The sequence below is a fragment of the Homo sapiens genome, chromosome 1, assembly GCF_000001405.40.
Source record: "Homo sapiens chromosome 1, GRCh38.p14 Primary Assembly".
In the NCBI taxonomy this organism is placed as follows: Eukaryota; Metazoa; Chordata; class Mammalia; order Primates; family Hominidae; genus Homo; species Homo sapiens.
In genome coordinates, this window is record NC_000001.11 from 68,580,951 (window position 1) to 68,596,062 (window position 15,112).

The following is a 15,112-nucleotide window of genomic DNA, read 5'->3' on the forward strand; positions in this document are numbered from 1 at the left end:
TCTGTGCATAGACTGTGACATCTTATCTTCTTGCAGAATCTTTCATTGTGCTGTTTTACTAGTGTGGTCACGAAATTTCATAAGAAATGGCCATATGAAAAATGTGACTTCATTATTATAAAATATTTTTATTGGAATGATGTATTTATTTTTCAATATGTTGTGTTTTGCAAACATTTTCTTCACACGATTAGTAAGTAGTTATTTTTTTCTTGGTAACTGTTCTAATCTTTTTCCATTTTCCTTAACTGAGATACAGTTCTACTTCTCTTTTATTTTATTTCACAGATAAAATAGATTCTAACAGGTGTGAAAACTCAAAGTTCCTCTCATGGACCCACTAAGTTTTATTTATCTTCATTTGTCTTTTACATTATTTAAAGACTGACTTTTCTATAACAGCCTTCTAACAATTCATTTTCTGACTCTTTATTTGGAACGTCCTGTGATCAAATACTAACTCTTTTAAAATTGATACCTTTCTAACCACCATATTCTGCCTATGAAGTATGTAAACCTTTTTATTAAAGAATAAAAAAGAAGGATTTCCTTCAAATCTGGCTTTCACTGTTTTCTTTTCTTCATTTACTTCCAAACTACTGAAAAAAAGGGTCTATATCTGTGGATCAACTTTCCTCACAACATAAATCCATACTTCAATTAAGTCTGGCTACTGCCCCTATTGGTGTTTTGGAAGTTCTATCAGTACAAAAACCAATGCTCTTCCAAGAATTAACAAAACCAAAATCTACTTTCAGTCCTTGGTATTGGTGTGGGTTCTTAGATGTAAGCAATAGAAACTGCCTCTTGCTGAGTTAAACTGAAAAGAAATTTCTGAGAAAGACTTTGAGTAGCTCACAGAGCCAAAAAGAATGCTGTGGAACAAGGATTTGATAATGGAGAAGGAACAAAGGAAACTAACAGGACCAATGGCCAAACCACACTTCAGTTAAATGCTGAGGAACACTGGACCCTTCCACAGTTACTGACTATGAATTCTTAAGTGTCTCTATATGTTTCCAACCTCTGTTGAGACTCAAATTCCTGGGTGGAACATCCAATTGCCTGAGTCTGGCCCACTTGTCTTGATGAACCCTGCATGTTCTAGCTTCTGTAGTGGAGACACGGTCCTTTGAACTTCACATGAAGCAGAAATCCTCCCCCAAATAAAAAAGTCTTTTAAAGATGTTGAGAAGCAAAATACAAATTGTTCCTTCTGTGATCACTCTGTGGCCTTTGGTACCATTATCCAATCCTTTCTTGATATCCCTGATGAACATCGATGTGAAAATCCTCAATAAAATACTGGCAAACTAAATCCAGCAGCACATCAAAAAGCTTATCCACCATGATCAAGTTGGTTTCATCCCTGGGATGCAAAACTGGTTCAACATACGCAAATCAATAAATGTAATCCATCATGTAAACAGAACCAATGACAAAAAAACCACATGATTATCTCAACAGATGCAAAAAAGGCCTTCAATAAAATTCAACACCCCTTCATGCTAAAAACTCTCAATAAACTAGGTATTGATGGAACATATCTCAAAATAATAAGAGCTATGTATGACACACCTAGAGCCAATATCATACCGAAAGGACAAAAGCTGGAAGCATTTCCTTTGAAAACCACCACAAGACAAGGATGCCCTCTCTTTCCACTCCTATTCAATATAGTATTGGAAGTTCTGGCCAGGGCAATCAGGCAAGAGAAAGAAATAAAGAGTATTCAAATAGGAAGAGAGGAAGTCAAATTGCCTCTGCTTGCAGATGACTTGATTATATATTTAGAAAATCCCATTGTCTCAGCTCGAAATCTCCTTAAGCTGATAAGCAACTTCAGCAAAGTCTCAGGATACAAAATTAATGTGCAAAAATCACAAGCATCCCTATACACCAATAATAGACAGAGAGCCAAATCGTGAGTTAACTGCCATTCACAATTGCTTCAGAGAGAATAAAATACCTAAGAATACAACTTACAAGGGATGTGAAGGACCTCTTCAAGGAGAACTACAAACTGCTGCTCAAGGAAATAAGAGAGGACACAAACAAATGGAAAAATATTCCATGCTCATGGATAGGAAGAACCAATATCGTGAAAATGGCTGTACTGCCCAAAGTAATTTATAGATTCAATGCTACTCCCATCAAGCTACCATTGACTTTCCTCACAGAATTAGACAAAACTACTTTACATTTCATATGGAGCCAAAAAACAGCCCATATAGCCAAGACAGTCCTAAGCAAAAAGAACAAAGCTGGAGGCAGCATGCTATCTGACTTCAAACTATACTACAAGGCTACAGTAACCAAAACAGCATGGTACTGGTACCGAAACAGGTATATTGACCAATGGAACAGAACAGAGGCCTCAGAAATAACACCACACGTCTACAACCATCTTTTCTTTGACAAACCTGACAAAAACAAGTAACGGGGAAAGGTGTCTCTATTTAATAAATGGTGCTGGGAAAAATGGCTAGCCATATGGAGAAAACTGAAACTGGATCCCTTCCTTACACCTTAGACAAAAATGAACTCAAGATGGATTAAAGACTTAAACCTAAGACCTAAAACCATAAAAACCCTACAAGAAAACCTAGGCGATACAATTGAGGACATGGGCATGGGCAAAGACTTCATGACTAAAACACCAAAAACAATGGCACAAAAGCCAAAATTGACAAATGGGATATAATTAAACTAAAGACCTCTGCACAGCAAAAGAAACTATCAGCAGAGCGAACAGACAACCTACAGAATGGGAGAAAATTTTTGCAATCTATCCATATGACAAAGAGCTAATATCCAGAATCTACAAAGAACTTGAACAAATTTACAAGAAAAAAACAACCCATCAAAAAGTGGGCAAAGGATATGAACAGACACTTCTCAAAAGAAGACATTTATGTGGCCAATAAATATATGAGGAAAAGCTTATCATCACTGGTCATTAGAGAAATGCAAATCAAAACCACAATGAGATACCATCTCACGCCAGTTAGAATGTCGATCATTAAAAAGTCAGGAAAGAACAGATGCTGGAGAGGATGTGGAGAAACAGGAACGCTTTTACACTGTTGGTGAGAGTGTAAATTAGTTCAACCATTGTGGAAGACAGTGTGGCGATTCCTCAAGGATCTAGAACAAGAAATACCATTTGGCCCAGCAATCCCATTACTGGGTATATACCCAAAGGTTTATAAATCATGCTGCTATAAAGACACATGCACACATATGTTTACTGTGGCACTGTTCACAATAGCAAAGACTTGGAACCAACCCAAATGTCCATCAATGATAGATTGGATAAAGAAAATGTGGCACATATACACCATGGAATACTATGCAGCCATAAAAAAGATGAGTTTATGTCCTTTGCAAGGACATAGATGAAGCTAGAAACCATCATTCTCGGCAAACTAATACAAGAACAGAAAACCAAACACCACGTGTTCTCACTCATAAGTGAGAGTTGAACAATGAGAACACATGGACACAGAGAGGGGAACATCACACACTGGGGCCTGTCAGGGGGTGGAGGGCTAGGGGAGGGATAGTATTAGGAGAAACACCTAATGCAGATGACGGGTTGATAGGTGCAGCAAACCACCATGGCACATGTATACCTATGTAACAAACCTGCACATTTTGCACATGTATCTCAGAATTTAAAGTATAATAATAATAAAAAAAACCATTAAAAATAAATGAATACTACAATTTGAAAAAAAAAAGAAATCTTTTCTGTACCTGATTTCTGGATACCGCACCTGTTTTTCTACACTTCGTGTCTCCCTGTCACCAAGAGGTCAAGTATAAAGCCTTTATCATGGTATTCAATGCCCTTTATGATACTGCTGTTTTGATTTGAGGCATTATATGCCCCATTGTTTTTCAGCTTCCCTTTCTCCTGCTCTTTATCAAGTACCCTTTTTCTCAACACAGCTAACTACATTTAATTCCCTCAGTATGCCCTTCAAGGAGACATTTGGAAATGATTTTCTTCCTCTTTGTCTTTAAATGTATACTTCCAGGTTCAGATTAATTTTGTGAAGCCCTCTAGGACTATTTCTGAGAAGAATTAATCACTCCTTTCTCTTCCTTCCCTTGGTACTTTAGTTTTTGACCTTTCTACTAAATTCTTCATGGGGAGATTATATCATGTTTATAATTAGCCCAATGATAGTTGAATGAATTTTGAATCATCTTAAATCCTTTTTCGGCACCTCCTGGATATAAATTTTATGGAAATAAAAATAATGTTCCTATGATTTCTTTTCCAGGTTTTCAGTTATTCAGAATATCACTGTTTCCATTTATTGTGTATAGTCAAAACACTCTTGAAGTAGCTTTCTCCCAACAATCTGGATAAACTTCCATCAACAAAGCTGGAGATGTGCTGAGGAGGGCACTGTGGTGAAATGAGGAGAAGAGCCTCTTTCTATTGTGCTCCTACTATTTTCTAGGACAGAATAAACTTTCTGCTGCCAACAGCCTAATGTAATAGCTGGCATAAAGTTTGATAGTGTCTTTTCAAAACCAGCATAACAAAATCCTGGACGGGAAGCACTCTAGCAGCTGCTACAAATGCCCTTAAATTGCCACCCATGCATAACTGTTAGAGTTGTGCTGACGTGTGCTGGCCATGGTTTGTCCCTTTCTAGACTACAGATGAACAGAAGCTCCTTCCATAATTTTGGGATTTTTTTTATCACCTACATAATTCCTGTGTCTCAGCTAGAAAGCCACAGTAGACCAACTTAGCACCAAAATTCATGCTAAGTATGTGAATTTTATCCCATGCTTAACCAGGTTTTTTATTTATCATATATGTCCTGAACCCAGAGGAGATATTTTCTGATGTTTGTTAATCATTCTCCAGCAACAAATTGCTAAGTAATTTCGAAAGATGTAATGCACTACCTAGAGTATGCAATGTTGATCTTTGGACAAGGAAATATGTATGGACAGGGAGATTAATGCACCATCCATACAGGAAATGATGTGAAAACAAGTTGTCAGCCAGTGGCAATGATCTTTAAGAATTAAGTGGTTTTAAAACTTGGGCATTAACTTCAGGCTCTAAGGTAACAGTACAGATACATCTAAATCTCTGGATGTTGTGCATTCCTGAAACATCACTGATAAAGCATATTTCTTTGTAATTCATATGTTTGTTCTAAATTCCAGTTTTAGAAATATAGACCTCAGCAGCCTACATAAGCTCTGTAGAAAGAGAGGGAGAGAGATGTTAAGAAAAAAAAAGAAAGATAAGTATAGCAATATACCAAAACAAACAAACAAAAAAGTTAAAGATGACAGGCTCCAATCAGCAAACATAGAAGCATATATGACCTTTATTTGCTCTATTTGTCAACGGTTGAATATGGCAGTGGGAGCATGGATATTTAGCAGGGGCAGCCAGCAGAATTCTGGTTTTAGTTCTGGCATTAGAATTCTCTGCTGCTTAAATTTTGCATATTAAAATTTTTAGAAAAAATATTTGATTTTATGGTATCTTAGAAGTCTTCTAGTCTCACAGGAAATTTAGATGATAAGTATTTTTGTTTCGTAGGTCATCAATGGTTTCTAACAAGTTAAAAGTAATAAAGAGAAAAACATTGCTATTCTTTGAGTTAAACCTTTGGGATACTATTTTGTAAAACGGAAGGTATTCTTGTTTCTGTATTACAATTTTTTATCTTAATTTGTCAGAAAAATTTGTGAAAGATTGAAATGGGGGAGAAAAGACTATTAGGTATTCCGTCCAGTGTTTTTATTGTCTTTAAGCTATTTCACAACTCTATAAGGTTGATAATACAGATAGAAATGCAAATGATTTCTTGTCTGTGGAAATACAAATTATATCCCCTGGAAATGCAGCTGATACTTTCTCTATGAGTATTAACTGGGTTTTCATCATTCAGCAAATGTATTTCACCATCCCTTATGTGCTACATATGTGTAGTTCTTTCAGTTACCCTTTTGCCATTTGTAACATCTTATTGGTTCCCTCATTATTTAATGAATTAAATAAAATCCTTGGCACATGTATTCATTTTGTATTGTGGTTAATTTTACTTTTTGAAAATGAACTTTGTTTTTTATGTAGTTTTACCAGAAATAGTTTAATATTGAGTGCCAGATTGGTTATCTTTTTCCTTATCTCCACAAGTATTCACTGGGTACATACTATATTCCAGATACTTTAAGACACACTGGGTATACAAAACATAACCTGAACCTGCCTGTAGCATCTATATTTTAAAATTATGGTCTATAATGGCTCTCACATAGGCCAATAAGACCGTACAGGGTAATGAAAAGAATAAAATAATAAAGCCTGTGGGTTTACATAGACTTGGGTTCAAATTCATGTTCTACCTCTTTCCTACAGTGTGACTTTTGGCAAGTTACTTAACTGCTCTGAATTTCATTTTCCTCATTCACAAAATGGGTTATACTAAGACCAACCAGGCAGTATTGTTGTGGAATAAGATAAGATTTTGTATGTGACTTGCTTTGTACTTAGATGGTGCCTGGTTCTTGGCAGGTACTCACTGAATGTTGATTCCTGTTCTGTACCCCATGCTTTCAACCTTCTTTTTAATTTCTTTTGGCCACTGCTCCCTGTATGACAAGTTATTATTGCTGTTTCTATTTTACTGATACTGGAATGACTAGTCTAATCTCAATAAACAAGAATCTGCAGTGCTCAAAATCTCGATTCAGTACCCAGCTCAATGAGCCATGCAGGCCTAAAACAAGAAAGAAGTTCACAATCAGGAAAACCTCCAAATGCTAAAAACCACACTTACGCTTATGGTAATATTATTGTAATTTAAAAAGTGTGATTATAAGAATGACTCCATTGCAGAGTACATAATGTTAGTCTACCTGAACAAGTACAGATCAAAATTTGTGAAAGCCAAATTTGCCCAGTCAGATTCCTAAAAGCAAATGCACCCCTTTCGGTTCTTGTGGGCCCCTCAGCATTTATTTATTCAGTTTAATGCTAAACCTTCCTTTTATTTTTCCCTCTAACTCTGCTTGTCAGTTCTCTATTATCAGCCGAACACGTTTGTACCCTTCTCTTACATTCTTTTGCTGGGTAGTTTAAATTTTTAAGTCATTTACAATCCAAGTGAATATTTAACATTATATTCATTATGCACCTTGTGGTTGCCATTTTCCTATTACTGCAGTGACAATGAATGATGGCAAAAATGCAAATGCCTATTCCTTGTGAGTTTAATCTAGGCTCCTTGTGTCCTGATATATCTTATCATTTTGTCTGGTAATTAGACTTCTCTGATGATGTTGTAAAATACATATCAGTTGTGAAGGGAAAAGTCATTATTTATCATTATAAGGTGGGGAATATGCTCATTTTTCATTGCCCTTACCTGGGTAGCAAGGACAAAGTGATGCAATTTCAACTTGGAGGCCCATGCTTGATGTGATTCTGGGATGGAACAAATAGCCATGAAATTAATCTGAGAATGTTCAATCATTCCTTTGCCAGAGCTTGGCTGGCGTCACCTTAGTGTATGAAGTATAGCTTTCCAGGCTGTTAGCTTCCTCAGGAGCATACGCAACACAGGGGAAGATTTGTCCCTGTTACACATCATCTTATAAAGGGTGAGGGCTGGGACCAAAAGAAACGAATTAATGAAGGGGGAAATATCTTTTGAAGCCAAGGGACTATAAATAGCATAGTTCTGAAAGTATTATATTTGTGAAGCAAGGCTGTTACCTAATGTGAGTTGGAGAATAACTTGTGTAAGTATAGTCCTGGGAAAAGGAAAAAACAAGCCTTGTCTCAGAGATTTCATATCATAAGGAAAACGAAGAAAAAAAACCTAAATGTTGGAGGGAGGTCACTTGTTTCTAAGAGAAGGCAGTCTCACTTTTTGTTGATTCATTTAGCTAATACATAGTGAGTTCCAACTAAATGCCAGATAATCTCCTGAGAAGTAAACATTATTCTGAAATTTGCTAAGTTTGGAGAAAAACTTCAGTAATTCTAAAATAACTAAATCATTAATGACATTAAACATATCATATATAATTATATATATACAGTATATATAATATATCATAATATATATACAGTAAATATAATATGTCATAATATAATGATATATATAATATATCATAATGATATTATATATGGTATATATATGTATCATATATATAGTTAGTTATCATATATATATAGTTATCCCTCAATATCCATCAGGGATTGGTTCCAGGACCCTACCCCCACGGTATCCATGGATGCTTAAGTCTCTAATATAAAATAGTAAAATATTTGAATATAACCTAAACACATCCTCCTATATACTTTGAATCATCTCTATATTGCTTATAATACCTAATAAGATATAAATGCCATATAGATAGTTGTTGTATTGTTTAGGGAATAGTGACAGGAAAAAAACTCTGCATGTTCAGTACAGACAAAAACCATCATTTTTTTCCTGAATATTTCCTATCTGCAGTTAGTCGAATCCATGAATGTGAAACATCACATTCACAGTGAGCATGAGCAGTACATGTATAATATGTCATAACCCTTTTGATTATTTTGTTGAATTTTGTATTTTCCTCTAAGATTTAAAATATATTTCTTTCTTCCTAAGGGAAAGTGATTAATTCTATCACCCATGTAGGCAATGTACCCTTGCTGGAGAATATACCTTCATTGTTCATAAATGTATTATAAATATTATCCTCCATAATAACAGAAGAAGCCCTAAAAAGCAGACAGTTTTACATAAACTGCTAAGTGATTACTACCTTCATTAGAGATTTACAGGAATCTTCCCGAAAGGTATCCTTGCCTATCCAAGGTTATATGAGAAAGGAACTGTGATGATCTGCCTCTGAAGAAAACTATGGACGGCCATGGGGAAGAAAAGTCATTAATTACCTCTCTACTCAGGGCTGCAATGGTTTATCATGCTTGCTGATGTTAAGTGCTTCATCAGTATTCTATGTAATTTAAATGTATGACTACATATCAAGTGCCTGGAAGAATGTCTGGGACTTGATAAACAGGCAATGGTCTTGTCATTACTGGTAATTGTGGTCATCTTATAATCCCAATTTTATGTACCCCACTCTTTGATTAGTACCTCTTCTGTTTCCAGGTTACTCTATCTAATTCTCCACACTTAACCATCCTTCTACCCACTGGAACCTACAATCCTTTGATCTTACCACCTTTCCACTGTCTCACCTCTTCGTGGTGTCCTTTTCCTTTTCACCCAGCTTAATTGCTATTTTCCTTCATTATAGTCATCCCCCTTCATCTAGAGTTAATTCTCTTGCCTTTCTCTCTGTCATACACTTTTGAGAAACTCTAACACTGATTAAATCTAGCATAGAGTTGTTTGCTCCTCTATAGATGAACAGAGCAGACAAAAAATGAAAACAGCATGGCTGACTCTTTTCACTTGAAACTCATGATGTGAATGTGAGTGGACTGGACGTCTAATGCTGCTTGTCAATCACTGGACTTTCCCATCCAATCACTTTTCCACTTTCCGAGTTAGCTATCTTATACTATCTCTCTTACCTCAAATCTCCAAATTTTCTTTATCCATCTTCACTCTTAGCTGTTCACTTTCAGAAAATGACTTTTACAACTTTTCATGATCAGATTTAACAACCTGCCACAAATTCTCATATACTTTGCCTGCCACCTGTTGTTAGAAATGAACTATTCCACTTTTATCTAAGAATGGCCTCACAGTTGGTATGCAAGACTTCATTACTTTTTCCTACTCAAGGATGTGGCCCCAGCAATTCCCACCTCCTTTTTCTGCACTGACAATTATTTCCTTTATATTGGGTCATTCCCAACAACATAAAAATAGGCTGTTTTTGTCCCATTTTGCTTAAAACTCTCAACTTTACCTTTTCCTTCTTTTGCAGCACAACTTCCAGCAAGAGTTTTACAGAATTCTAAATAAAAAATGTCTTTTTACATATTTCTAAAATATTTCTAAATGTATATTTAGCTAATTGTATATTTAGCAAGAGTATATCTTTTTGTCTTTTCCTCCCAGTCTAATCTTGAACCCACTTAGTCAGGCTTTTTCCCCCAGTCACTTTACCAAAACCATGCTTGTCATTGTTCTTGCCTCATCTTGTTGACAATTCTCAGTCTTCATTTTATGTGAACTGTCAGCTGCATTTGACAGACTTGATCATTCTTCCTTCAAATACTCGCTTCACTTCTTGCTCACAAACAGGACATTTTCCTGGTTTTTCTACTATGTCCCTGGATGCTTCTTTTCAATTTCCTATGCCAGTTCCTTTTCTTTTTCCTCTCTGACTTAAAATTGTCCATCTGGGCTCAGTACTTGATTTTTCTTGTTTACCTAGATCAGCAATTGGCAAACTAAGGCCCATGGTCCCAAGTCCAATTTGTGCCTGTTTTGATAAATAAAAGTTTTATTGAATCACAGCCATGCCCATTTATTTATGTGTTTTTTTATGGTCCCTTTTGAGCTACATAGATGGATTTCATTAGTTGCAACAGAGGCTCTACAGTCCTTAAAGCCTAAAATAGTTGCTATCTGGCCCTTAACAGAAAAAGCTTGCTGACATTTCCTCCACACTTATGTCGTCTGTGAAGGCATTCAGATGCATGATTTAAATATATACTGTATACTGATATTTCTCCATTTGTATTCAGATGAGACATCTCCTCCAAACCTCAGACTTAGAAATCCAATTGCTGATGAGATGTTCACTTGGATGTCTAACAGTCATCTCAGACTTAACATGTTCAAAAGGGAATGTCTAATCTTCCTCTCCAAATTTGTTTCAACTACAGTTTTCTCCATCTCAGTTCAGAGTAATCCTATCTTTTCAGTTGCTTAGGTAAAAACCTTGGAGTTATCTTTATCTTTCTGTTGTATCTTATATCTAATTTGTCTGGAAATCCTGATTGCTCTAACTTGAAAATTATCGAGAATCTGACCATTTCTCCCCTTCTGGCACAAGTAATCAAAATTTCTTTCTTAGATTACTCAATTGCCTTCTAATTAGCTTTTATGATTCTATCCTTGCCTCTTCCATTTGTAATATGGAAGAAAGGATATTCTCTTAAAATACAAGCTAAGTGATGTCATTCCTTTGCTCATAATCCTCCACTAGCCCTCCTCTCATTCAGAATAAGAACCAAACTCTGCGATGGCTGCTCAGTCCTATAAGGTCTTGACCCCATGCTACCTCTTCAAGGTCATGCCCTATTTATCTCCATTTTGTCCACTCAACTTTAGCCACACTGGGCTGCTTTCTCTTCCTTTAATATTTCAGGCATACTGTCTCCAGAGATATTCCCTAGCTCTTCCTTATACGAGCAAGGCTCTTCCCTTAGGTATATTTGCATGGGTTGTTGGTCAAATATCACTTTTTAAATAAGACCTAACTAATCACTCTATTTAAAATTGTGCATCTCCCTCCTCTCCAGCATTCTTTATCATCCTTACCCTGATCTATTTTTCTTCATAGCTCTTATTATCTTCTAATACACTGTGAATATACAATTTAGCTAATCAGTTTTTTCTTTTTTCTTTTTTTTTTTTGGAGATGGAGTCTCGCTCTGCCACCCAGGCTGAAGTGCAGTGGCACGATCTCAGCTCACTAGAACTTCTGTTTCCCAGGTTCAGGTGATTCTTGTACCTCAGCCTCCCAAGAAGCTGGGATTACAGGAGCCCACCACCACATCTGGCTAATATATATAAATATATATACATTTATAATAGAGATAGGGTTTTGCCATATTGGCCAGGCTGGTCTTGAACTCATGACCTCAGGTGATCTGCCTGCCTCAGTCTCCCAAAGTGCTGGAATTACAGGTGCTAATCATTTTTCTGTCTCACCACTCACCCCTAGAACATGAGCTCCATGAAGAACGAATTTTTTTTGTCTTAAAAATATTCAATCTTTCATATAACACATAAAAGTTGATATAATCTTTTGGCACTTTTTCCACTTAATATATATTGCTAACATTTGTCCATAAAAATATTAAATCTTTAATACCCAGAATAGTGCTTGACACACAGTGGGTGCTCAGTAAATATTTATTATCTAGGCAAATGATCGAGTTAGCTATGTCATTATTTACATTGTTCAAAGAGATATAAAAATATTTTTGATACATTAATAAGGCAGAGTATTTGAATTTTTAAATGCATTTTCTGCAATTTGGAGTAGATATTTCCAGGTTGTTTCATTTGAGGAGTGAGGATTAATGTATTGGCATTTGAAGACTTCAAATGTTTCTATCACTAAGACTCTATTATTGGTACCATAGGTTGCATTTAGAGCTCTAAATAAAAGGTAAATCAGAGGAATAAGCATTGAATTAGTAACTAGATACTTGCACTGTTTCATTTTATTTTCCACAGGGCTATCAAAAATGATGTTTCTAAAACACAAAACTGCTCTGTCATGCTCCTTATTGCTATCGTCTGAATGTTTACATTCCCCCAAAATTCATATGTTTAAATCCTCACCCCCAAGGTGATGGTATTCGGAAGTGGGGCCATTGGGAAGTGAATAGGTAATGGGGATGGAGCTTTCATGAATAAGATTACTGTCCTTATAAGAGATGCCCCAAAGAAACCCTTCACCCCTGCTGCCATGTGAAGTTAGAGTAAGAAGATGGCTGTGTGTGAGGAGGCAGCCCTCACTAGACACTGAATCTGCTGGCACCTTAATCTTGGACTTTCCATCCTCAAGAACTATGAGAAATAAATTTCTCTTGTTTATAAGTCTATGGTACTCATCTGTGGTATTTTGTTATAGCACCCCAAACAGACTAAGATGCAGATACAAAGCCTTTTGGTTATCCCTTATTGCTTGGAATATAAGACAACATTCCTCAGGGTCTGATGTTTACTTGTATTTGTTTTATCACTTCACTTTTATTTCAACTGTCTCAACCCACTTGCAGTTCCTGGGACACTCCACAGTCTTTCATATATGCTTATTATCTTTTTCTGGAAGTTCCAGCTTGCTTCTATCAGAAGCATTTTAAATGGATTATCTAAAATGTTATGCTTTCTCCTAGAGGCAGTCTTTGATAGTTTCTGTAGTTAGTCCTAGATATTCATGACAGTTATATGATGGTATTGTTTTATGTATTTTCTTTTCATATCGACTGTTCATTGAGACCTTGACAAACCAATAATCCATTTCCCCATCTTTTTTATTATGAGCTATATTTATACTTACAGAAGAGTTTCAGAAACATATACCCTTCGCCCAGCTTCGTCTTATATTAATATCTTACATGACCGTAGAACATTCACCAAGATTAATTTCTTAATTAATTAATCTTGGTGGCCAATTAATCTTGGTGGCTGGGCACGGTGGCTCATGCCTGTAATCCCAGCATTCTGGGAGGCCGAGGCGGGTGGATCACGAGGTCAGATCGAGACCATTCTGGCTAACACGGTGAAACCCCGTCTCTACCAAAAACTACAAAAAATTAGCTGGGCGTGGTGGCGGGCACCTGTAGTCCCAGCTACTCGGGAGGCTGAGGCAGGAGAATGACGTGAACCCGGGAGGTGGAGCTTGCAGTGAGCCGAGATCGCACCACTGCACTCCAGCCTGGGCGACAGAGTGAGACTCTGTCTCAAAACAACAACAACAACAACAACAAAAAGAAAAAAGAAATTAATCTTGGTAAAATATTATTAACTAAACTACATAGTTTATTTGGATTTCATCAATTGTTTCACTGAGGACTTTTTTTCTCTTTCAGGGTGTCTTTCAGTGTTTAGTTTTCATGTTTTCTTATTCGTTCAATTGTGTCAGTTGCTCAACCTTTCCTTGTTTTTCATGACCTTGGTTTTTGTGAAGGGTCCTGGTCTGTTATTTTGCAGAATATTTTCCAATTAGAGTTTGTCTGATATTTTCTCATGATTAGCTTGAGGTATATATTAGTGGAAAGGATCTCACAGTGTGATTTGCCCTTCTCAGAGCATCATAACAGAAGTTTCACAATGTTGGTATGTATTAGCCATGATGTTGACCTTGGTTAAGTGCTGTCTGCCAGGATTCTCCAAACTTCACTTTCACTTTGTGATTTCTAAATATTGTGGAATAGATATTTTGAAACTATGCAGATATCATGTTTCTCCTTAAACTTTGCCCGCTAATTTAGTCATAATTGGAATTTTCATAAAAACAGAATATCGTGGTGTTCTCATGGTGATTTTATACTTTCTTTATTCTTTCTACATTTCTTAACTGGAAATCATCTGTAAGGAAGCGATTTCCTTGATCTTTTAGGTGTCTATGTATCTATCTGTCTATCCCAGTATGGATGTAGGGATTCTTCTAATTTATTGGGTTAGAATTCAATACTCTCATTATGTATTTTATTGTTCAAATTGTTCCAAATGAGGACATTGAGAGTTTTTTCAGTGTTGGCTCCTATATATTAACATATGACACATAGCTACATTTATTTCTGTGTCTGTCTTTCTGTATATATATATTTTTAAAAGACAGTGAATCTATATTGATGTTTCTGATTTCAATCATGCCCCACAGGGTTCACTGTAGACTCTGTCTTTCCGTATTTTTCAATGTCTTTGATTCAATGATGAGAAACATAGCTCTCATGGTACATATTTACTTATTTGTTCAACCCTAGTATAAAAATAAAGTAGTTTGAGAATTGGTAACACGTACCCCTAATAAAAAACAAATGTATAACCATAGGATAGTGTTTCAGCATAGCTAGTCTTTTTGCCTTTAGCTTTACAGTACCCTGTCAGAAAACTGTTTTCCAAAATTTCTTAGTTCAGCACCTTTTCCCCTATTCTCTTCTGTGCAGTTATACAATTAATATGTAATACAGTTAGATTTATTTGTCATGGTCTACATTTCAAATTTCCCTTGATAGCCTTCTTTCAAATACAGGCATACCTCATTTTATTGTACTTTGCTTTATTGTGCTTTGCATTACATTTTGTATAAATAGATGGTTTATGGCAACCCTGCATTGAGCAAGTCTATCAGTGCCATTTTTGCAATAGTATATATGCACTTTGTTTCTCTATGTCAG